Source organism: Homo sapiens, chromosome 10, assembly GCF_000001405.40.
Source record: "Homo sapiens chromosome 10, GRCh38.p14 Primary Assembly".
In the NCBI taxonomy this organism is placed as follows: Eukaryota; Metazoa; Chordata; class Mammalia; order Primates; family Hominidae; genus Homo; species Homo sapiens.
Window position 1 is genome coordinate 65,978,089 of NC_000010.11, and position 27,136 is coordinate 66,005,224.

At 34.3% G+C, this 27,136-nt stretch overlaps 1 protein-coding gene across 8 annotated transcripts in view; it reads right to left on the bottom strand.

Annotated features, from left to right (window-relative positions):
• Nucleotides 1-27,136, bottom strand: part of CTNNA3 (catenin alpha 3) — a 1,851,072-nt gene that overhangs the window by 65,566 nt on the left and 1,758,370 nt on the right. For all 8 annotated transcript variants that reach the window (XM_047425124.1, NM_013266.4, XM_017016152.2 and 5 more), the window contains one exon: nt 10,604-10,709. In XM_047425124.1, coding sequence (XP_047281080.1) covers nt 10,604-10,709 — 106 coding nt within the window. The remainder of the gene's footprint in view (nt 1-10,603; nt 10,710-27,136) is intronic.

A 27,136-nucleotide genomic window follows, 5' to 3' on the forward strand; every position in this document is an offset into this window, starting at 1 on the left:
CTCTATCAAGTCCCTCAAAGCAAAACCCTGACTTCTATAATCCCATGTCTCCTTTTTTGTTTATGAATATGCCTACTAAAATGTTTCAATGCAGATTCCTCCTTTCCTTATCATTCTAAGAACTGTTTTCAACTCCTCCAGTCCGCAGAATTTTATCTTACTGAGATCACTAATGGACTTATAATTGCCGCATTCATTATATATGTTGCAGTTCCTCCCTTATATCACCTCTCTGGAGCTTTTAGATCTTTATTGATTTTCATAAATATTAATTCTCATGAATGTTTCCTCTTAGATTTTCTCCTAGTTTTACACCAGCCTTCCCAGACTGTATTGTAAGCATTTTTTTTTTTCCTTGCACGTGTTGTTGTTCTCAGCTTTTGTTCCTGAGCAATTTTTTTTTTTTTAACTTTCATTCTCTTCTTGGACAACAGTAGACAGTGCTCTGGCTTCATCTGTCACTTACACAACACAAACTACAAAATTCTAACATCCAGCTCTGTCATCAGGCGATCCATGTAACTACTGTGTTAGTCCATGCCATTTCAGCATCTCATCAACATTTCACACTTAACACATTTATCTCTCAGCTATTTCACTATCTTGCCTACTCACCTATTCAACTATTTTTTCTCTTTGTATTAACTATCTCAATGAAGAATGCCTTGTTCCTCTTTTCCATCTCTTAAATCTGGTCAGCCATTAGTTTGTGCTTATTCTACACCTAGAAACCTCAATATATTTTAAGTATTTTTTTCTTTGCTATGCCTATGACAGCTGCTGTTTAGCAAATTCAGGTTTCTGAAACACAGAACAGAGAAGGTACCTATAGAAGTATGATTAAAAATACACTGGAACTCTGTTATAATGTCAGTGGTAGAGGATAACATTGTCTCATATGGTATGTTCAAGACTGGACATGTTGATTTATGAGAGTTATAATTGGGAAAGTATGGTGCATGGCATATCTCAATGAATAAAGGTTGTTTTTACCAGAAGTTATATATGCTGTTAAAATCCTGTCATATTTTGTCCATATTTAGGCTGAAATTGTCTTGAGTTTAAGAATTGTTTCAAATTCCTTTTTATTTTCAACTTGGTTTGCACATACAGCTATTGAGAAAGTGACATGTACTTTGAACACAATACAAATTAAAGACAAGATGTTTTCCTTATTCAACAAAGCTCCTTTACTTTAGTAGATGTAAAGTTATGACTCAAGCTACTTTTCAGCTTTATGTTACTTCCATGAGAGATTCTCAGAAGAAATGAGTGTCCTATGTAATAGACCATAACTCAAAAGTGTCACCCTCTCCCTCATGCCTGAAATTTGTCATTCAAAGAATTACTTCGACTGAAACAAACTCATACAAGTGCATTATCCTGTACATAAAATAAGGATGTGGAAAAGATGGTGGAAAGGTAACTCAGACAAATTCTGGTTATTTGGAATTTTTGATTAAAGATAGCCAGCCAACTACAAGAAGAAACTTTGCTCATCCTTCCTCTTCTCCACTTATACAAGATAGCTCCTTCCACCTAGACCCTAAAACACTTTATTTTTTGGTTACATAGTTTTGTAACTATACATGAAGTGAACCTGAATAGATAATCACCCTAGGAGCATTTAAAACACTGTTTCAGTGAAAAAATGTCAGACATTACATAAAGGGGAAAAGAGTAAAGCAGCATCTCTTAGAACAGGAGATTCACTATTACTTGAAAGACGCAAATAGATCAAATATTTCAGTATACATTTAGTCCTATTTAAATCTTGAGAACTTTCTGTGCATTTATTTTTATAAAGTAGGAGTTCATTAATCTGGAGAACTAATCTAGGCATCAACATTTCTGCCAGAGAAGAAAATAAATAACAAAGATCTGAGCAGAATAAAATGAAATTGAAACCAACCAACACACAAAATACAAAAAATAAATGAAATATAAAGCTGGTTCTTTGAAAAAATAAATAAAATCGATAGATCATTAGTGAGATTAACGAAGAAAAGAAGACAGAAGGTCCAGATAAATTAAATTAGAACGAAATGGGAGATATTACTACTGATACCACAGAAATACAAAAGATTATTCAAGGCTACTATGAACACCTTTACATACATAAACTAGAAAACCTAGAGGAGATGAATAAATTCCTGGAAATATATAACCCTCTTAGATTAAACCAGGAAGACATAGAAACTCTGAACAGGTCAATAATATGCAGCGAGATTGAAACGGTAATTTAAAAATTGCCAACAACAACAACAAAAAAGTCCAGGACCAGACAAATTCACAGCTGAATTCTATCAGATATTCAAAGAGGAATTGATACCAATCCGATTGACATTATTCCACAGGATAGAGAAAGAGGAAATCCTCCTTAAATCATTTTATGAAGCCAGTATAACTCTAGTAACAAAACCAGGGAAGGACATAACAAAAAAAAAAAAGAAAAGAAAACTATAGACAAATATCCCTAATGAAAATAGATGCAAAAATCCCCAACAAAATTCTAGCTAACTAAATTCAACAGCATATGTAAAAAAAAATAAACTGCCATAATCACGTGGGGTTCATACCAGGGATGAAGGGATTATTCAACATCTGCAAGTCAATAAATGTGACACACCACATAAAAAAATTTTAAAAATATTACATGATCATCTCAATAGACACAGAAAAAGCATTTGACAAAATCCAGCATCCCTTTATGATTAAAGCCCTCAGCAAAATCAGCATAGAAATGACATACCTTAAGGTAATAAAAGCCATCTATGACAAACCCACAGCCAATATTATACTGAACGGGGAAAAGTTGAAAGCATTTCACCTGATAACTGGGACAAGACAAGGATGACCACTTTCACCGTTTGTATTCAACAGGACTCTGGAAGTCCTAGCCATTGCAATCAGACAAGAGAAAGAAATCAAGGGCATCCAAATCGGTAAAGAGGAAGTCAAACTGTTGCTGTTTGCTGATGATATGATCATATATCCAGAAAACCCTAAAGACTCATCCAAGAATCTCCTAGAACTGGTAAATTAATTCAGCAAAGTTTCAGGATAAAACATTAATGCATTCAAATCAGTGGCTCTGCTATATACCAACAGTGACCAAGCTGAGAATTAAATCAAGAACTCAACCGTTTTTTTACAAAATCTGCAAAAAGAAAAATAAAATACTTAGGAATATACCTAACCAAGGAGGTGAAAGACTTCTACAAGGAAAACCACAAAACACTGCTGAAAGAAATAACAGGCGACAGAAACAAATGGAAACACTCCCATGTTCATGGATGAGTAGAATCAATATTGTAAAAATGACCAGACTTCCAAAAGCATTCCACGAATTCAATGCAATTCCCATCAAAATGCCACCATCATTGTTTACAGAGTTAGAAAAAACAATCCTAAGATTCATATAGAACCAAAAAAGAGCCCGTATAGCCAAATCAATACTAAGCAAAAAGAAGAAATCTGGAGGCATCACATTACTTGACTTCAAACTATATTATAAGGCCATAGTCACCAAAACAGCATAGTACTGGTATAAAAATAGGCACACAGACCAATGGAACAGAATAGAGAACCCAGAAATAAAGCCAAATGCTTACAGTGAAATGATCTTTGCAAAGTAAACAAAAACATTAAGTGAAGAAAGGACACCCTATATGACAAATGGTGCTGGGATAATTGGCTAGCCAGATGTAGAAGAATGAAACTGGGTTCTCATCTCTCACCCTATAAAAAAATCAACTCAAGGTGAATGAAAGAATTAAATCTAAGACCTAAAACCATAAAAATTCTAGAAGATAATATCTGAAAAACCCTTCTAGACACTGGTTTCGGCAAAGACTCTGTGACCAAGAACCCAACAGCAAATGCAACAAAAACAAGGATAAATAGATGGTACTTAATTAAAATGGAAAGCTTCTGCACAGAAAAAGAAATAATCAGCAGAGTTAATAGAAAACCCACCGAATGGGAGAAAGATCATCACAATCTACACATCTGACAAAAGACTCATATTCAGAATCTCCAAATAACTCAAACAAATCAGCAAGAAAAAAAATCCCATCAAAAAGTGGGCTAAGGACATGAATAGACGATTCTCAAAAAAAAAAAGATATACAAATGGCCAACAAGCATATGAAAAAAATGTTCAACTCACTAATTATCGGGGAAATGCAAATCAAAACCACAACGAGATACCACCTTACTCTTGTAAGAATGGCCATGATCAGAAAAAACAAAACAACAAAAAAAGGTGTTGGCATGGATACAGTGAAAAGGGAACACCTTTACACTGTTATTGGGAATGTAAACTAGTACAACCAGTATGGAAAATAGTGTGGAGATTCCTTAAAGAACTGAAAGTAGAACTATCATCTGATCTAGTAACCCCACTACTAGATATCTACCCAGAGGAAAAAAAGGCATTATACGAAAAAGATACTTGCACACACGTTTATAGCAGCACAATTTGCAATTGCATAAATATGGAATCAGCCCAAATGCCCATCAATCAATGAATGATAAAGAAAATGTTATATATACATATATATATATAAATGTGGTATATATGTGTGTGTGTATGTATATATATATGTGTGTGTGTGTGTGTATATATATATATTCATGTAACCAAACACCATCTGCTCCCCAAAAACCTCTTGAAAAAAAAAATTAAAAAATTTCTGCTGGAAATAAATTTCAGATAGGTAATACCTTTAAAATACGCATATTGTCACAAGGTGTATCTAGGAATTATATCCTTAGGAGTTGTGTAATCATGATATAATGAAGGCTCCAGAAGCTTCTCAGTAGTATAGTTTCATTGAAATAATTTTTTTGCCTCTTATAATATCAACATGAAACAATTCAAATGAGGCCAGCCTCCAAGAATATTTTGTAAAATATTAATACAAATTATACTTGTAGGTTGTTTTGTTCATAATGGAGTGCATTTTGTGTGATTTGGTTTATATTTCTTTACTTTGGTTTTTAAACATCATCTTTTCTTGAATTAGAATTAGCTGCCAATGTATTTAACACTAAAAGTTCGTTTTAATTTTGTTCAGTTACAATTAGGTGGGAATGTCCAGTTATTAGCCTTAATATCTTTGCTTTGGCAAAATTACAAGGAGGAAGTAATTAGGCTGCTTAAAGATCACCGAGGGATCAGAAAGTCTAACACTGTTCTCTCCTGGTGCAAAACACTTTTAGCAGATGCTAATTTTATTTTGGCTCCTATTGTCTCCTTCCTATCTAGGTTATACTGCTTCTATAACTATTTGAAATCTTTTTGTGCATTATCCTTACCTTATGAGATGTTACTTTATCTAATTTAGAATATCTGCTAATATGATTAATTACAATGTAGAGTACAGAAATAGAAAAAAATATGTACTGAAAGCCTGAAATCTTGGATTCATATTTTACTTCTCCAACTTATTCTGTTTAATTCACAAGCAAAATTTTTAAGAATTGTTATAGGTAAGAATAGCTATAACAATCTTGTTTTATACAAGGATACTGTCTAAAGGAGACAAAATTTGTGCTAAAATTCTACAAGACTTAAATATATCTTTGATGGCATACTTAAGCCTTTTTTGAGACCGCCATTTTGAGACAATTCTGAAGTCTAAAAAATGTTGAATGACTGGGAAAATTAAACAGAAGGTTTTAGTTCTTCTCTTTCTAACTAGCTAATGCCAATGCCAGAGTAGTGAATTGTGTGTGGCATACACACAATAAATATTCTCTCAAGGAAGCAATGAAGGAAGGAAAAGTGAAAAATAAAAATGAAAAGGCCAAGCAAGCAGAATGAGAAGCATCAACTAATCTAATTGTTTCATTCTTTCTACATGTGAACTTTAACTCTGAAACTTTACAGAATGTAACTAAATTGGTCTAATAATATATGTAATAGATGATATATATATAAACATGCATTTAAATAATTTAAATATATATATAATTTCAAATCTAATGTTAGTTGGAATGGATATTACTGTTTGACCTTCTGACACACCAGCAAAAACTAAAGCTAGAATGTATTATTTTTGAAATATTAAATTGATCAAAAGAGAAAGCAACCAATGTTCCAGCAGATTTTTTTCATAATATACATAGACACTGAAAATCACATTGCTTACATTACTCAATTTATTCCATAATCAATTTCAGATATTATTTTCTGCCTAAAATGTCTTAATCTATCCAATAATAATGTCAGAAGCACATTCAAAGACAACCTCCCTAGATGGTCACTGTAATAACTGAGTCAGTTTCTTCATTCTCAGTTTTGATTACTTAGAACTATATTTCTTCAGAACAAAAGTAATTCATCTGAAACTATTTTATGTATGAAATGGAAAAGGCCAAAAAGAGTCATCTATAATTCTTTATTAGTCAGTGACTACTTCTCTAAGCTTCTCTTAAAATGTCAAAGCTATACAGAAGTAAGATGATACTTTTGCTTTCTCCCATACCATTTGAATAATGCTAAAAACAATGACATAATTTGATAAAGCCATGTTATAGAAGTACCTACTTCAAGGCAACCTGATCCAATTAAAGAAGATTATCAATATAAGAAAAAAAACCTTCAATGTGACACAATTATGTCAACTTTGAAAACTGGGTGTTTCAAAATAAACAGAAAAAAATGGGAGGAAGCATTCAGTATTTAAAAAGTTATTAATACATGTAAATATGTGTCATGTACTATGTTTCACTTATTTCACTAAGATTTAGTGTCTCTCATAAAAGTGAATGCAATAAGATTCTAAAATAAAGAAAACTGTGGGCATATATAGGCTTCAGTCACATAATCAAACTCAGAAATTTTGACTTATTTAGGATATAGTTTGTTTTAGCTGTAAATACTAAATACTAAAAAAAAGGATTAATAAAATTTTATAATAATTAAAGTAACACGGAAAAGACATATGTTCTTTATTATTAGGAATGTTATTAAACAGTTTATTATAATTAGTCTTTATTTGTTTCTTATTCCTTATATCCACAAATACAATATTTAATAGGAGAGAGTTCTTCATTTTCCAAGAGAGTATAAACATAGTGAACAATAGTAATCATTATAAAAAGAAGCCCAAAAACCTTTCCCTAATACTATTTAAGCAAGAAATAATATGAAACAGTTGCAAAAATCCTCATTTTTTTCCAAAAGGAAATAAATATGTACTATGAAGTTGAACATAATATAAAAGCCATGAAATAATATTATACCTCAGTCTGAAATATTAATTGAATATCTCAACACATTAATGAAAGCAACAGATTTTTCAGTTAAAGTGTAAAGTATTTCTAAGGATGCAGCAGCTGCTTAGAAATACTGAAATAAACATGAGAAATCTAAAAAAAGGAAACTAAAATGTTTATGAACACCAGTCTCTATATTAATTATGTATTTTATGCATTTTATATCTTTAGTATTATCTTTAGTATTCTACTAAATACTACTTTTCTTTGAATTTTAAATATTATATTAGAATATATTGTTGACACAGAAAACCTAACATTATAACATTTTAAAATGTATTAATTTTTGAAGAGCAAAAATAAGGAAACAATTGACAGACTTTCCTGTAAGATCTGAAACAAGACAAGGCTGCCTACTGTCACCATTTTTATTCAACATAGAACTGAATGGCCTAGCCAGAACCATTAGCTAAGAGAAAGAAATATAGAGTATCCAAATTGGAAAGGAGGAAGTCTAATTGTCCTAGTTTATAGATAACATGGTCTTATATTAAGAAAAACCTTTCTTTGTGTTACAAACAATCCAGTTATAACTTTTAGTTATTTTTAAACATATAATAAATTACTTTTGGCTATAGTTGCCCTGTTTTGCTATCAAATACTAGATCTTATTTATTCTATCTAACTATATTTCTGTACTCATTAAATATATTCTTATCCCATTTGTCTTTACTGATTGATTCATGAAAATGTCAAAAGTGTAATAAAACATTGCTATTACTAATTAAACTACTAAGTGAAAATTAAAATTTCTTTTTGTTTATTTTGTCTCTGGATAGTTGACTCTGAGTGTGAATCCTGTACCTTATTTACCCTGTTGTGATTATTACACATTGTATGCCTGTATCAAAATATTTCCTGTACCCCATACATATATAGACTACCATGTGCTCACAAAAATGAAAAATAAAAATATATATACAAAAAAAAGAAAAACCTAAAGGCTCTACCAAAAAAAAAAAACTCTTAGATTTGATAAAAAAATTCAATAAAGTTGAAGGATATCAAATCAACCTGCAAAAATCAACAGCATTTTTACACACAAATAGTGAACAATCTAAAAAAGAAATCAGGCAAGCAATCCTATTTCTCATAGCTACAAAAAACAAAACACCTAGAAATCAATATAACTAAAGAGGTGAAAAATCCCTACTATTAAACTATAAAATATTGATAAAAGAAATTGAAGAGGAGACAAAAAAAGATATCCTCTGTTCATGTATGGAAAGAATTAATATTGTTAAAATGTCCATACTGCCCAGAGCAATATACAGATTCAGTGTAACCCATAGAAAAATACCAATGACATTTTTTACATAGATAGAAAAAAAAAATCCTAAAATTTACATAGAACCACAAAAGACCCTGAATAGCCAAAGCAATCCTGAGAAAAACAGCAAAGCTGGAAACATCACACGACCTGGCTTCAAAATATGTTACAAAGATATAGTAACTAAAACTGCATGGTACTGGCATTAAAAAAAAAAACCACATAGACCACTGGAACAGAATGGAGAACCCAAAAATAAATTCACATATTTATAGCCAACTGATTTTGAACAAGTGTCAAGAACACACATTGAGAAAAGGATAGTCAATAAACAGTAGTGGGAAAATTGGATATCTATTGCAGAAAAATGAAACTAGGCCCCTACCTTTCACCATATGGAAAAATCCAATCAAAATAAAGGCCTAGCATAAAATCCAAAACTATAAAACTAGTAGAAGAAAACACGGGGCTTCAGGACATTGATTTTGGCAAAGATTTGATGGCTAACACCTCAAAAGCACAGGCAACAAAAGCAAAAATAAACACATGGGATTATATCAAACTAAAAAGGTTTTGCACAGCAAAGAAAACAATTAACAGAGTGACAAGACAACCTACAGAATGATAGAAGATATTTTCATACTATTTGACAAGGGATTAAAATACAGAATACATAAGACATATCAACAGAAGAATAAAACAAATTTAAAAATGGGCAAATGATCTGAATAGTCATCTCTCAAAAGAAGACATACAAATGGCCAACAGGTATATGAAAAAATGTTCCACATCATTAATTGACAGGAAAATGCAAATCAAAAGCACAATAAGATATCATCTTACCCCAATTAAAATTGCTATAATTGAAAGAACAAAAAATAAATTCTGTCAAGAATGTAGAGAAAAGGGGACTCATACCCTGTTGGTAGGAATGTAAATTAGTACAGCCATTATGGAAAATAGGAGTTTTCTTTAAAAACTACTACTAATAAACTAATAATAGAACTACCATATGATCCAGCAATCCATTACTGGGTATTTATTTAAAGAAAAGGAAGTCAGTATGTCAAAGAGATAGCTGCACTCCTATGCTTACTGCAGCACTGTTCACAACCTGTCAATCAGTTAGTTAGAATCAATCTAACTGTCCACCAATGAATGGATGGATAAACAAAATGTGGTATACAAGCACAATGGAATATTCAGGCACAAAGAAAAATGAAATCCTGTCATTTGTGGCAACATGACCAAGACTGGAGGACATTATGTTAAGTGAAATAAGTCAGGTACAGAAAGACAAGTACCACATATTCTCATATGTGAGAGTTTTAAAAGTTGATGACACAGAATTAATGAATAGAATAATGGTTATCAGGGGCAGGGAAGAGTAGCGGAGAGGGGAAGATAAAAATAAGTTGGTTAAAGGTACAAAAATACAGTTATATAGGAGGAATAAATTGTAGTCTTCTGTAACATAGGCTGACTATAGTTAATAATTTATTGTGTATTTAAAAATAGCTATATGAGAAGATTTTGAATGTGTTCAAAACAAAGAAATGATAGATGTTTGAGGAATAGTATATGCTCATTACCTAATTTGATCAATACACAGTGTATACATGTATAGAAATATATGTACTCTACAAAGGCAATTATTATATGTCAATTAAAAATAAAACATAATGAAAATAAATGTTAAAAATACACAACCAAAAAAGAAAGAAAGAAATATAATGTATCAACAACAACAAAACTCGGTTTTGTAATTACAATTGATTAAAATTAATTGAGTATATTTGATGCTGAAGAGCTGATACTAGAAATAATTTGAGTATGTTTTAAGCTAAAAATATCTGCCCTAAGAAATAATTAAGCTTCCTTATAATCGTCCATTACCTAGTGTATTAATAGAGCTATTAGAAATTCAATTATAATTTAGAAAAAATGGTTGAAGAGAGTAAAAATTTAACTTTGCCTAAATCAATGTTCTAATGGCAAAGAGCAATTAGCATGAACTTTTATGATGTCCACTTGTAAGTAACTCACCTGATTAGCAATCTGCCGAGCAAGGACATCCATCCTTGATCCTGATTCTGATATCATTTTCGCTGCATAGATCACATCAGTTGTATGCTTTAGTGGTCCTTTGCCCCTGGAAAAAAATTTATATATGTTAGCTGTGGTGTTCATGAGAAAATATATGTTAGCTACGATGGTTCATGAAAAAATGTATTAATCTATGCGTCCATCCATCCGCATATGTAAAATATTCGCATCCCAAAGAACGGCTATTGTTTTTGTGATTGTTTGTTTTGAGACTGAGTCTCACTCTGTCGCCAAGCTTGAGTGCAGTGGTGCAGTCTCGGCTCACTGCAACCTCCGCTTCTCGGGTTCAAGCGATTCTCCAGTCTTAGCCCCCCGAAGAGCTGGGACTGCAGGCGCGCGCCACCATGCCCGGCTAATTTTTGTATTTTTAGTAGAGATGGGGTTTCACCATGTTGGCCAGGATGGTCACGATTTATTGACCTCGTGATCCACCCGCCTCGGCCTCCCAAAGTGCTGGGATTACAGGCGTGAGCCGCCGTGCCCTGCCAGCTGTTGGTTTTAATATTTTGATTTTGAAAAGAGCACAATCAGACTCCAGTATTATTATTATTATTTTTTAATGCCAGCCTATTGTGTTAAGTCAAGAAATACTGCAGAGAAGATGAAGACCTTTTTGATCTTCATTCCCAGGTGTTTATTATAGTAAAACTCAGCCTAGAGATACCCTTCATAGACCTAGATACCTCAAGGCAAAGGTATTTTCCTGATTTTAGAGAGAATCATAATATTTTGGATATTATATGTATCTAACGATTTATTTTTTATCAGCAGGCCTACTTTTAGTATTTCACATTTTTTCTGTTGCTATATTTTAGTTACTTTAAAAAAATTTATTGATGGTAAAATTCATTTTTTATGGGGTACATGTATTATTTTGCTATTTGTACATACATAGAATGTGTAATGATTAAGTAATGTTATTTAGGGTATCTGTCACGTCAGTCAAGTATTATTTCTATTTGTTGAAAATATTTGAAGTCTTCTCTTCTAGCTATTTTGAAATATTCAATACATTGTTTTTAACTATAGTCATCCTACTCAACTATTGAATATTTGAATTGTTCTTTCTAACTGTATGTTTGCTCCCATTAACCAACCTCTCTTATCCCCCCAATCCCCAACAAACACCATGCCAAGCCTCAGATAACTATGATTCTACTTTCCACCTCCATGAGAGCAAAGTTTTTAGCTCTCACATATGGAGGAGAAAGTGATATTTGTCTAACTTATTTCACTTAGCATAACATCCTCCAGGCTCATCCAAGTTGCTGTAAATGTTAGGATTTAATTCTTTTTTAATGGCTGTGTTTCATTTTGTGTGTAGTGTGTGTGTGTGTGTGTGTATACACACACACACACCACATTTTATTTATCCATTTATCCAACACTTAGGTTGATTTCACATCTTTGCTATTGTGAATAATACTACAATAAAAATAGGGGTGCAGGTATCCTTTTGATATGCTGATTTCCTTTTCTTTGGATAAATACTTAGGAGTGAGATTGCTAGATCATACGTTAGTACTACTTTTAATTTTTTGAGAAATATCCATATTGTTTTCCATAATGGCTGTACTAGTTTACATTCTCATCAACAGTGTATAAGAGTTCCCTTTTCAACATACCTTTGCCAGCATCTGTTTTTTTTTTTTTCCTTTTAATAATAGTCATTCTAACTGGGGTAAAATGATATATTATTGTAGTTTTGGTTTGAGTTTTCAAGCTAATTAGTGATGTTGAGCATGTTTTCATATACCTATTGGTCATTTGTCTTCTTTTGAGAAATGTCTGTTCATGTCCTTTGCCCGCTTTTTGATGGGATTATTATTATTTTCTCCTGTTGAGTTGTTTTAGTTCCATGTATTCTCTGAACTTTAGGCCCTTATTAGAGAAACAGTTTGCAAATATTTTTAAATATTAAATATTTAAATAATTTAAATATTAAATATTTTCTACTATTTAACAGGCTCTTTACTCTGTTGATTATTTCTTTTGATGTGCAGAAGCTTTTTAGTTTAATATAGTCCCATTTGCCTATTTTTATCTTGCCTGTGCTTTTGAAGTCTTAGCCATAAAATCTTCGTCTAGACCAATGACCTGAAGCATTTCCCCAATGTTTTCTTCAAGCAGTTTTATAATTTTGGATCTTACATTTAGGTTTTAGCTGATCTTGATTTGATTTTTGTATATGGTGAGAGATAGGTGGCTAGTTTCATTCTTCTGAGTATGATTATCCTGTTTTCCCAGCACCATTTATTGAAGAGCCATCCTTTCCCCAGTGCCTGTTCTTCCCACCTTTGTCGAAAACCAGTTGGTTATAAATGTGTGGATTTATTTCTGGGTTCTTTATTGGTTCATGTGTCTATTTTTACGCTCATACAATGCTTTTTTGGTTACTACAGCCTTATAATATGTCTTGAAGCCAGGTAGTATGATGTGTTGTGTCCTTTTTCCTGTTCTTTTCCTCAGTATTGCTTTGGCTATTTGGGGACTTTTGTGGTTCTATTAATATGTAACATTTAGGATTGTTTCTTCTGTTTCTGTGAAGAATGTCACTGATATTTTGATATAATTCCACTGAAAATGTAGATTTCTTTTGGTAGTATGGATATTTTGACAATATTAATTCTTCTGATCTATGGGCATGAAATATATTTTTTATTTTTTGTGTCTTGTTCAATTTCTTCCACCAGTGTTTTATAGTTTTGTTTGTAGAGGTTGGTTCTTGTTTGGTTAAAATTATTCCTAGGCTTTTTTTTTGTAGCTATTTTAAATGGGATTGCCTCTTGATTTCTTTTGCACATTTTTCAGACTGGTGTATAAAATGCTATTGATTTTTGTATGTTGATTTAGTACTCTGCAACTTTCCTTAATTTTTCAAATCTAAGAGTGTTTTGGTGGAGTCTTTAGGTTTTTCTTAATATAAGATAATTTCATTGCAAAGAAGGACAATTTGGCCTCCCATTTTCCAATTTGGATGACTTTTCTTTCTTTTTCCTGATTGCTCTGGCTGATAACCTTCAGTACTAGAATCCTGAAGGGGAGTTATAAAAGTGGGCATCCTCATCTTGTTCCGGATCTTGATAGAAAGGCTTTCAGCTTTGTTCCAATCAGTATGATGTTAGCTGTGAGTTTGTAATATGTGGCCTTTATTATGTTGGGGTATATTCCTTCTAAATCTACTTTCTTGAGAGTTTTCATCATGAAAAGATCTTGAATTTTATCAGATGCTTTTACTGAGCCTATTGAGATGATCACATTTTTTAATCTTTCATTCTTTTGATATGATGTATCACGTTTATTGATTTGTGTATGTTGAATCATCCTTGCATCCCAAGGATAAATCCCACTTGATTAACATGTGTTATCTTTTTGGTGTGCTGTTTGATTAATTTTGCTAGTATTTTGTTGAGGGTTTTTGTGTCTCATTCATCATGGATATTGACCTGTAGTTTTCTTTCTTTCTTGTGTTCTTGTCTGGTTTTGGTATGAGGGTAATACTGCCTCATAAAATAAAATAGGGAGAATTCCCTCCTCTTCAGTTTTGTGGAATGCCTTGAGGAAAATCAATGTTAGTTATTCTTTGTAAGTTTGGTAGAATTCAGCAATAAAGGAACCAATTCTGGGCTTCTCTTTTTCGGGAGTCTTTTTGTTACTGATTCAATCTACTGTGCATTATTGTTCTGTTCAGATTTTCTATTTTTTCCACACTTGATCTTCGTAGGTTTTGTGATTCCAGGAATTTATTCATTTCCCCTATGTCTTCCAGTTTGTAAATGTTAACTGTTAATAATAGTGTCTGATGACCTTTTGTATTTCTGTGATGTCAATTGTAATGCCTCCTTTTACATTTATAATTTTGTTTATTTGGGTATTCTCTCTTTTCTTGGTTAGTCTTGCTAGCAGGTTATTTAATTTTTTATCTTTTCACAAAACCAATTTGTTGCTTTGTTGATCTTTCGTATTTTTTTAGTCTCTGTATCATTTAGTTCTGTTCTTATCTTTATTACTTATTTTCTTCTACTAATTCTGGATTTAGCTTGTTCTTGCTTTTCTAATTCCTTGATGTGCATCATTAGATTGTTTATTTGAAAACTTTCTAGTTTTTTATAGTAGGAATTTATTGCTATGAACTTCCCTCTTAGCACTGCTTTTGCTCTATCCTATAGGTTTTGGTATATTGTGTTTTTATTTTCTTTCTTTTTCAGAAACTTGTTTGATTTCCTACTTAATTTCTTCATTGACTTGATGCTTGTCTAGGAGATTGTTGTTTAATTTCTACGTATTTGTACAGCTTCCAAAATTCCTCTTTTTACTCATTTCTAGTTTTATTTGATTGTGGCATAGGAGGACACTTGGTATGCTATTAACTTTTAAAAAATTTGTTAAGATTTGTTTTGTTGCCTGACATATGGTCAATCCTACAGGATGTCTATGTGGTTATGGGAAAAATGTATATTCTACAACTGTTCAATAAAATGTTCTGTAGATTGGCCTCTTAGGCCAATGTGGTCTAAAGTGCAGTTTAAATACAATGTTTCTTTTTAAATTTTCTGTCTAGATGATCTTTCTAATGCTAAGAGTTGAGTGTTGAAGTCTCCAACTATTATTGCATTGGAGTACATCTCTCCCTTTTGATGTAATAATATTTGCTTCATATATCTGGATGATTTCATATTGGGTACATATGTATTTATAATTTTTATATTCTCTTGCTGGATTTGTCCTTTTATCTTTAATATAATGACCTTCATTGTCTCTTTTTTACTGTTTTTGACTTAAAAATGTTTTTATCAGATATAAGTAGAGATACTTATGCTCACTTTTGGTTTCTGTTTGCACCAAATATCTTTTTCAATCCTTTACTTTCATTCTATATGTCTTTACAAGTGAAGTGAGTTTCTTAGAGGCAGCAGATAGTTGGGTCATGTGGTCCTTGCTTTTGGTTTTGGTTTTTGTTTTCAAATCCATTCAGCCAGTCTTTCTCTCTATATATATTTTTTAGATGGAGTCTTGCTCTGTTGCCTGGGCTGCAGTACAGTGGCACAATCTCAGCTCACTGCAACCTCCACCTCCTGGGTTCAGCCTATTCTCCTGCCTCAGCCTCCTGAGTAGCTGGGATTACAGGCATGTGCCACCATGCCTGGTTCATTTTCGTATTTTTAGCAGAGACAGGGTTTCACCATGTTGGCCAGACTGGTCTTGAACTCCTGACCTCGCGATCTGCCCACCTCAGCCTCCCAAAGTGCTGAGATTAAAGGTCTGAGTCACCAAGCTATATCTTTTAAGAGCAAAATTTAATCCATTTACCTTCAAAGTTATTATTTATGTGTGAGGATTTATTTCTGTCATTTTGTAAATTGTTTTCTGGATGTTTTGTGTATACTTCGTTCCTTTCTTTCTTATTGTTTATCATTATGGTTTGGTGTTTTTCTGTAGTTGTACCATTTGAGTAGTTTCTACATTTGTATGTTTACCAGTAAGTTTTATACTTTCCTGTGTTTTCATGATAATAGATATCATCTTTGCACTTTCAGATATAAGAACCCTTTAAAGGAGTCACGAAAACAAAGGAAAGTAATAAATTTCCTCAGTTTTTGCTTATCTGGGAAAGAGTTTATTTCTTTTTTATAGCTGAAGGATCAATTTTGCTGGGTATAGTGTTCTGGATTGACATTTTTTTTTTTTGGTTTTTCTCCTCCCAGCTCTCTGAATGTATCATCTCATTCTCTCCTGATCTGTAATTTTTCTGCTGAAAAATCTGCTGTTAGTTTTAATAAGGTTTCCTTTATATTTGACTTAACATCATTCTCTTCCTGTCTTTAGAAATCCTTTCTTTGTATTTGACTTTCAACAATTTGACTATAACTTGCCTTTAACAAGAACTTTTTGAGTTGAATCTATTTGGGGCTCTTTAAGCTTTCTGAATCTGGATGTTCATATCTCTCCTAAGACTTTTAAGTTTCCAGGCATCATTTTACTAAATAGATTTTCTATGGCTTTGGAATTCTCTTCAACTTCTGGACTATCCAGAATTTGAAACTTTGGTTACTTTATGGAGCCCCATTTGTTACACAGGATTTGTACAATCTTTTTTTATTATTTATTCTATTTTGCCTGACCAAGTTATTTAAAAAATCCTTTATTCCTGCTATAAAATTATTTCTTGTGCATAATAAAATCTGTTGTTGAAGCTCTCACATGAATTTTGTATTTCATTCATTGAATTCTTAGTTCCAGAATTTTTGTTTCTTTTTTATGATGCTTATCACATTGGTAAATTTCTCATTATGTTCTTAATTGTCTTTTCTGATTTTTTTTTGTATTCTTTATCTGTGTTCTATTGTATCTCACTGAGCTTCTTTAATATTATTACTCTGAACTCTTTTTTCATCATTTCATTAATTTCTTTTTTATTGTAATATCTTGCTGGACAATTATTATGTTTCTTTAGATGTGGCATATTTCCTTGACATTTAATGTTTCTTTTTTCCTTTCATTGATATCTTTGCATATGGTGTAAGTCACTTCTTTATTTTTTTGGATTGTCTTTTGTAGGGGAAGGTCCTAAAGATCTATCTGTAGTGTTGGTTTCACAGGACACTTTAGTTTGATTCTGGGTGCATGCAGTAATGTAGCCTCCATGTGATTTATTTGTCTATAAATAGCCTCAGTGGTATCTGTGATTTCCTCTGTCAATTAGGCTGTGGCTGTTAGTGCAGGCTGTGGTAAGGCTTTGTAGGGGATGAGAACTGCAGGTGGGTTGGTCCTCAGGCCTCGGTGGTGGGCCAAGCATGCCTGTCTTTGGGCCCACAGGCAGCGTGCATGGGCACGAATGTAATTAGGTCTAAGAAGGCTAATTCTTGGACCTCCAGGTGGCTTTCTTGGGTTCTGGCAGTGGCAGTATTGGGCCATGTGGTTCATTAAGTTCCTGGGTAGCATGCATGGCATGAGCAATGGCCATATCTGTGACAGGACAACCCCATGGGCTCACAGATAAAACATGTTTCTGTTAGTGGTGGCTGTGATGAGCTGGGTGGGCCTGCGCTTAAGCACCTGAAATACTTGCACTGATACCAGTGGTAGTGGGTGGGGCAAGATGATCCCCAGGTCCCTAGACAATGTGCCCAGGCATGGGTGATGTTGCCAGGCCAGACAAGCCTGTCATTAGGCCTCCTCCATTGTGCACACAGGTACAGGCTGTGATCGGCAGGCCAGGGTGAAACCTAGGCTCCCCTGGTAAAGTGCTGGGTGGTGGCAGCAATGACAGCAATGAGCAGGGAGAATCCATCCTCAAGGCACGTGCAAGTACACTGTGGGCCTGTTTCTGGGAATTGGGGTTATTTTCAGTGACAGCAGCCACAGCCAGTTGGCTCTCAGGCTCTTGGAAGTATACGCTTCAGTGTCCAGAATTGGTGGAAGCAGCAGCCATGGGGAGAGCCAGTCTTCAGAGCATGTGCAAGTTGAGGATTGCTGAGGAGGCAGAGTTGCTATCAGTGGGAGCAGCCCCAGGCAGGCAAGTTTCAAGTTCTGGGGAGCACATGCTTTGGCTCCCTTTGTCCCAGGGGCACCTTGCTTTGCCTGCTACACCACCCATAACCTGGGGTGCAAGTTGCTGTGTGTTCTATAGTGCTGAGGACCCTGCTGTTCTGCTGAGTCTAATCACTCTCATGCCACTGCAGTCCTGTAAGGGATGTAGGGAGATGTCAGTGGGGTTCTAGGGATGTAGGAATGCAGGGGCTGCTGAGCCCCAGGGAGAAATGCAGTCTGGTTTGGGCCACATTCTCATAATGACACTGTGCTACAACTGCTTAGGACTCAGGGTGTTTGTGGGACCCAGCATAAGCTACCTATCTGGAGCGACGCCATTACACACTATCCAGGCTGCTTCCTGTGGTAGCCTTATGGTCTGCAGGGGTCAAGGAACTCTCCAGTGACTAGGATTGCAGGAGCCCATCATGGGAATGTGGACTGCTGGGGCATATACCATTTTCCCACACTGGGGTGACTCTCCAAGCTCCCAGGTGATCCTGACCAAGCTGGCAGCTTTACTTCCCTGTTTTTTTTCTTGCTTCAGGTGTTTCATGACACTCCTCTGTTGAATTCCAGTGTTCTGTCTTAGATGCTGTATTCAAAGAATGATTATGTACTTGCTATTTTAGTTTTTCTTTGTGGAGGAGGCAATTGCTGAATGCCTCTAGTCAGCCATCTTGGAGTCCTGTTCCAATCTTTATTTTTTAAATCTGTTTTTACAGTCTTTCCATTAATTGTGTTTTTTTTAATCCCATTATCTATTCTCCACAGTTGATTCAAACATGGAAAGTCCAAGCCTAAGAAATGTGTAATCTAAGGCCTTCAACATGAAAACATGAATTAAATTTATCTTCTCGTTTGTCTCATAGTGGTTCTCCCACTTTCAAAGAGGAGTTACCCCAAGACTTACCTAAGTAAATCCATTAATTCTAGCATTCACTTAAAAGGAAAATGTTGAGAGTATTGCTGAGATGAGTGAAAAAGAAATCCAGAAAAAAATGAATTAGGCCTGAGGACAATTAATAAGAAGTACTGAAATGACGTGATATCTGTTGATCTAAAATAATCCAGCCAAATTTTGGTGAAATATAAAATCTGGTGCTGCACACTGGTCAATCGGTATACCATCTTGGGTTAGCCAACAGAATACTACAGTTGGAGGTGGAGAGCGGTGGCCTGGGTCCCTTTACATGATCTTACCCCTCCCACCCTTTGATCTGATCTTGTTTGCCCATTACTAAGTTATGTCACTTAAACATCATGATTTAAGCATGAGAGAAAGAAAGAAATTGTCCTATAGGAAAAGGATGGAAAGTCTAAACTCAGAGAGTACCGGAAAGTCAATGAGGCCTATAAGAACACCATTCATGTATTCTTCCTTACATGGTTTATTTTTGTCCCTCTCAGTTCTCCCTCAATCTGTTTACTTGCTGTTAAGTAAAAGAAAAACGTCCGGGAGCAGTGGCTTCTGCCTGTAATCCCAGCACTTTGGGAGGCCGAGATGGGTGGATCACCTGAGGTCGGGAGTTCAAGACTAGCCTGAGCAACATGGAGAAACCCCATCTGTACTAAAAATACCAAATTAGCTGGGCATGTGGTACATGCTGGTAATCCCAGCTACCTGGGAGGCTGAGGCAGGAGAATCGCTCGAACTCAGGAGGCAGAGGTTGCGGCGAGCCAAGATCATGCCATTGCACTCCTGCCTGGGCAACAAGGTGAAACTCTGTCTCAAAAAAAACAAAAAAGAACTATATCATAATAGTTGAGTATAATATAAAGCTGGAGTCATGTTATCTTGGTTCCTAATGCCACAGAATAAAAGTTGCATTGATTTCAGGATTCTACAAGGTAGGAAAAAAGCAAGAAGTGTGCTTTTAATTTTTGGAGAAGTTTTCCATTTGTTTCCGGAGTGAGTGACCATTTTGATACAAGAACAGCATTTCTGTGAGAAAAATGCATACTGTTTTTGACACATTACTGTGAAAGGGAGCCAAACACCTATATAATTGGATCCTTTCACCAAGAGCTCCTTTCTTTAAAGATGTACAACTGGACTGAAATATGATAAGGGGACATTTTTCTATCTTCCCTTTTTTGAAAAAAAATAAACGAATGATTATCTGAATGAATGTAGCTGTTCCATCCATTTACAACCACTTCTGTCCATATTTCCTAACTCTCTACTGAGTCTTACCACACTGAATTTCTCGGTTTTAATTATTAGATTTCTGTTCCTTGTCCCTAGCAGAGAATAGCGCCCTGAAGAAACAGCTCACTAAAGCAATTGTTTTGATGCTTCAAGGGAAAGAGGGATAGTGAGGAGGGGAAAAAGGAATAAACTAGTTAGAGTGAGAAAAGAAAAATTCTGAGAGGCCAAAATACAGTTGCTTAAGAAAAGACAGGGAGTGAAAACAATCTTGGTGCATGTCTTATTTATGCCTTGAACTGACCTTGAGAATAGACACCCTAATATTAAATCCAATAAGATGTGTTATTAGAAGAAAGTCTTTGTTCACTAAGAAGAATAGCACTATGTAGTGATAAAAGACAGAGGGGATTCATGCAAAGCTAAATGATCAAAGAACTCTATACCTGAAAACCTGAACCTAAAATACTTGTGCCCTGTAAGCCAAGAAAGGCCCTTTCATTGCCCTTTTTCCCATGGTGCTTCTCAAAATCATTATTAGCAAGTTTCCCTGTAAAAATGAAACAGCATGTCTAACAACAATGAAAACCTGGTCTCATAGATGGTTATCATCACACATTTTCTCTGAATCTGCTGACAAAGATTGCTTTGTAATAAAAAAATCAACATTAATCATTATAATATTTGAGTTGCTCTTATCAAATTTACACATCAGGCAGGACTAGATGTTACGTACATGGTTATGTTCAAGTAAGGCATTGCATTTCATTATTTCAATGCATCTCTAGAGAAAGTTCAACTTAAATAAAGCTGTCTAAGCTCCTGAAAGGCAATGCATCAATTTTTCAAGTCTTAAACAATGGACAAAGATTGTTTCTAAGGAGAGCAGCTAAGGCTCTCATCTTTTAAATGATAGACAGTGTTATATCTAAGGAGCAGCTAAAGTACCCTTCCCCTCAAAATACTATGTTTCCCAGTTTAAAAACCCTGGGCTGATGAAAGGGAAATTACCTCTAGTTTTAAATGCATACCTTGTTAGGAGACCACTATCTTAAGCACATGTAGAACCTAAAAGTAATGATAATACACTATGCCAAACCACAATTATTCTCTTCCTCATGTTTTTAATTAAATGTATTGCCTGGCAAGCTTCCTACTGAATGCCAAACAAAATACACATTTTACAAATGAGTCTATATCATGCCAAACTTCAAGAGGATTCTACAATTACTGAAACTATGATAAATTTTTAAAATTCTCAGCCTGAAATGTACTATGTAATGAAGGCTTTTTAAATTGGGAAATATATTCAAACGTTGTTTGCTGCCTTCATTTCCATAATGGGTTCTTGGGATCTCCTGTCAGCAAATAGCATCTTAAATTATTGCATTGGATCCTACAGAAAAAGACCTAGAGAAGAAAGGGTTAGAGATTGAAAATATTTTAAAGAAACCAGAGGCCAGAAGTCTTTAATAAACAGTGGTTACAATAATAATCAAAAAAAAAAAAAAGCAGATCAGACTCTGAAGTAGAGGGCCTGCCACTAGCTGAGGTAGTGCATAAGTTAATTAGCCATTCCATTTTTATACATACTTCAAAACATTATCTCGTACACAATAAATATATACATTTTGTCAATTAAAGAAAGTAAAATGTAATAAAGATAATTTTAAAACATTATGGGTTAGAAAGTATAATGAAAAAGGCTATAATAACCCAGTGATGGTAATACCATGGACATTTTATTCAGATAAGTGAAAGGAATATCTTTGAAAATTTATTGGCTTGGCACAAACCTGCCAGTCATTTCTGACACTGCCTCATCCTTGACTCTCTTTCCTATCCCTGACCTCATCTCATTTCTGGCATTCATTCTCCTTCCTCCTTTCTCTTTTGATTAAAACGAGAAAGAAGAAGATGGTACAGGTGATCAGAAACAGGTCAATTAACTAGGGCTATGGCTTAAAAACAAAAAATACCAAATGTTTTCATAGAGTCATTTTGTCTTTTTAAGGACAGTGAATATCTATGAAATGATTTGGTAGTTTCTGCTATTGTGTGAAAACAAAACAGAAAGTTTAATTATATTATTTATATTTTTATTCCCTAAATCGTTGAAAACATAATAGTATTAAAGATCAAAAACTTCCTCCTTAATCCTTTTTTTCTTTGATGTTTATATAGAATAAGTCCCATAACATAGCGGTTGATTTTATAGATGAAAACAATAATAGCATATATTTTCTTCTGTAATTAAGAGTTAGCACATTCAGCATTTTCTGTTTGCCAGACACTATACTATACACACACTAATTTTATCAGTATAATAATCATTAAGTTTATAGCACTCTTGTGCTTGTTTTGCAGATGAGCAAACTGACGAACAGACAAGTTAAACGTAGCTTGACCAAGTTTCACAGGTAGTAAATATTGGAGATGGGATTTGAACTCAGGGAATGTGGCTACAGAGTCCACTTTTAACAACTATGCTATGTTGCCTCCCATAAAACATATCGAGTTAAAAATTAAAATATTAGAAGATCACCTTAGCCATTGATGGGCATTACCATGAATGCAACAGATTGAAGACCAGGGTTAAATATAGGTGATGGGTAGTTGGGAGGCCCACCAACAGTGACTTCATCACACATAGCAGCCTCAAGGAATACAGCCTAAATCTCTGTCCCAGTAAAATAAAAAATATATATATATACTACATTGCATAGATTTCGGGGGTCATGACAAGTGATTGAAATGGCCCCAGTAGCCTACAGTCCTGGGGTTTCTTTCTTGAGATATTATTACTTCTTTCTGTCTCTTATTCCCATTACCCTTCCTCCCTCTCTCCTTCTCCCTGGCTTCTGAACGCTACACTGAAACTCAGCCATTCCATGTGCCATGCTACATGGGAGATTGCACTTTGATGTTTTCTTTTTTATAATATAGCAAATGGAACTTTTATCTGAGAGTCTTAGCTTTAGATATAATCATTTTATTTCTAACATTCAAATTTAGTGCTGTGATAAAGTAGATTGAAATGAATACAGACTTGAAAAATAAGTTTTGTCTGCATCCCAGGACTGCCACTGATTAGCCATGTAGTCTTCACTAGTTGACTTTGCTGATCTGAGCTTATTTTCTCTTAATTAAAATAAAACTGTGGCATTTGTCACATGGTAAGGAATAGAAAATCAAATGTTTTACACAACATTTGACACATAGCAGATGTTCATCAAATGTCATTTTTTCTTTCCTTCTCCTTTTACAAATAATTATATTTTATAAAAATCTACCTTTTCATTTTATTTACTTATTTTTTACTGTTCTTAAGGTGCATCAGCACCTTTTCACTTTTTTAAATTCCAAAATTACAATACTTGCCAGATAACATCAACTGAATGGATTATATTGAGTTCCTTCTTACACCTGCTGACAGTAGTACTTTGCAAGTCTTGTCCATATATTCTTTTAGTGAGAAAAAAGGAATATAAAATATATACACACATAAACTCTCTCTGTGTGTAGTTGTTATCGTTTAAAGTTGTTATTTAACTCCTAATACAGAATTTATTTACTCTTAGTGACAGATATTTGTGGTAGTATAACTTCCTAGGATTATATAAATTAGCTCTACAAGAATAGAGCTGAATTACAAGAGTAGGGGAATTCTACTACCAGAATTCCCTTACTTATAATTCTGTATTAGATAAAAAAGAAAAAAAGTAGTTATCATGGAAGCAACCAAAAATGATAAGTTGAAAAGAGATATAGACTCAAGCAAGGACACACTGTTCTTCTACTATTCAAACATGAAACTTTAATTTGGCAAATTTCTCCCTCTGGGTGTTACTTTCTCTTGTAAAGTGTCATTCCAAAGTTTTGAGGACCCTATAAAAGTCCTTGGAAAATCAGCTAATGAATACTCAGCTAGCAATCATCTTGAGTAATTAGTATCCTGAAGAACTTTTGGGATTCAAGTCTGAAAAAGGAATTGCTCCATGAAAGAGGGAAAATGTTTGTCTGGCATTGTATATATTAGTCTCCTTTCTATTTCTCTTGTTCCATATTATTCAGAGTAGCCTAACTGCTATTATAATATCAAAATGTCTTAGTAGCTTAACACAATAAATTTCATTCCACTCTCACATGATAGTCCAGGCGAATTGTGGGTGGTGGGCTATGTACCACATAGTTGTTCAAGGACCTAGGTACCCTCGATCTACAAGATATCCTGTCCCCTAAGGCTCCAGAACCCTCTGCACAAGTCATTGCATCCAGATATCCAACAACAGAAAGGAATGAGAATAGATCTCATAGGAGACTTCTGGGGTCAGGACAGAAATTGACACACTTCACTCCCACCCATATTCCAGAAATGAGATACAAAGGCTCATGTAACTGCAAAGAAAGCTGGGAAATGTATTCTATTCCGTTCGGGAAAGAAAAGAAAACAAGGTTTTGTGAACTCACAGCATTGCCTTTGCACATGATCCCAGGGGTGCTAAAATCCTATATTTTATTTTATTTTCATTTCAGCAACAAAAGGCTGTGTTCCTTGTGAAAGGAAATTTTGTATGTCATCAAGTAGATGGGAAAAATTGAGAAAGAACTGAGGCACTTCACTAATACAGCTGTAATTACATGACATATACTCTGCCTGGGCACAAGACCAATTTTATTTCCTATTTTGAAATTGTCACCATCTAGAGGATCTATTATTAAAAACAAAAATTACATGAATTCTACTTTGTGCACAATAATAGTGTTTCATATTCAATGTTGCATTTGCTTATGAAACAAGGATAGAGTGTATTTTCAAGATATTTTAGGAGATCAACCTGGGAGAATACTTTATTACTATTGCCATTGCTGCTGGTGGCGGTGGTGGTGGTGGTGGTGGTGTGTGTGTGTGTGTGTGGAGAGAGAGAGAAGAAATTCCCTTCCTCAAATTCACTACTACTTTTCTAAAGAAATCCTAGGCACAATTTTATTTTCTGTTCTTCGGTCCTCAAATACCTCAATTTACCCTTTACCTGTTAGTGTTGTAACAAATCCTAGACAGATTATAGAATTCATAGAAGAATTTCATGGAGGGGGAAAAATCCCAAGAAAAAACACAAAACCCATAGGTGAAATCAAAGGTAGAATTAGAATGAAGAATTTCTTTGGCAAAGTTTGTTTTTTGTTATATTGTGGGCAAAATAGAGATCAGTAAACCAAATAATTTTGATTTTTGTCTTTAGTAAAACAGACTATTTTCTCCAGGACTTTATAAGTCTGAAGATTTAATATTTTTTTGTGTGATTTTGTACTGAAAACATAACATAATAACAAACATTATTGTGTTATTATGTGCTTACAACGTTCCAGGCACTGCTGCAATTGCTTACTTTTCTTACTCACTTCTCATACCCAGCACTGCTGCATAGAACTGCACACCTTTTGCACTACACACATTTAAGGGCAGCCATTCACAGCATGGACATGCCCATAATTGCGCACATCACATCATATGCTGCTTCGCATGCCCACTCTGTTCCTAAAATCTATTATCTTTGTCCTATAAACAAGAAAACAGAATTTTAGACGCTCAACACTCCTTAACTTTTCTCCAACATATAAGAATACAGGTCAGTTTCAAATGAATAGCAAGGAGTTTAAATCCATGTTTTCAGAGCTAATTAAAAATAAATCTTGCAGTGAAAGCATCATCATAGGTTTTATGTCAGTATGCATCTTAAAGCACTGAAATTCGACGGGTACCTCAGAATCAGTGGAATGTTTTATATATTGCAAAGAAATATACAGAAACAAGATATTCCCAGCCGTTGTTCTAAGTGGGTCTGATTAAAACATTATTCTCTGTCTACCTGAACCAATCCCAAGGATTATAAAATAAATAGCCCCTTCTTTGGTTGAATTTCTTTCATCAGAAATCTGGCATGTATCTTTTTCTTTTCCTTTTTTTCCCATCTACTTGGGTCTGAAAAGAGATAGATCTAAGGGGGGGAATTACTATGGTTTTCTCCCCCAGTTGGACTTTTGGTTCATAGAGACATGTAACCTAGTTGTGGGGGTCCATGATCGACCATCCGATGTTCCCTAGAACCAACAAAAGTAGCCATTAATGTTAGCTGAGAAACTTTACCCTAGTGAAAATTGTGGTTTCTAGGTAGAAGTTCTTCTAAGGACTTCAGCCTATTTTGTGACTAAGTTTGTTTTCTATAACATCTAAAGAGCACAGCTGTCTAAGAAACACTGCCACTCTTCTCTGCTCTTTCTTCCAATGGCAATGAAATTCTTGCATCACCCTAAGGAGAAAACTAGAGTTGGTAGTTGAATGCATTTTAATTCTTACAGTTCCCTCTGTAACTCATGACTGGCATCACTCCTGTATTACTTGTTCCACTAATTTTTCTTCATGCAATTCTTGCATTAGTTTCTTATCGCTGCTGTAACAAATATTAACCAATTTGTTGACAATACACATTTATTATTTTATATTTCTGGAACTGGGAAGTCCAAAGTAAGTTTCACTAGGCTAAAGGGAAGGTGTCAGCAGGGCTGGTTCCTTCTGGAGGCTCTGAGAGGAGAATCCATTCTCTCACCATTTTCAGCTTCTAGAAGCTGCCTGTATTCCTTGGCTTGTGGATTTTTCTTTCATCTCCAAAGGATATCACTAAAAGGTATGCTTCTGTTATCACACTTATGTCCTTCTCCTTTCTGTTCTCCTGTGCTCTTGAAAAGACTCCTATAATATCATTGGACCAACACAGATGATTTACAATAATCTC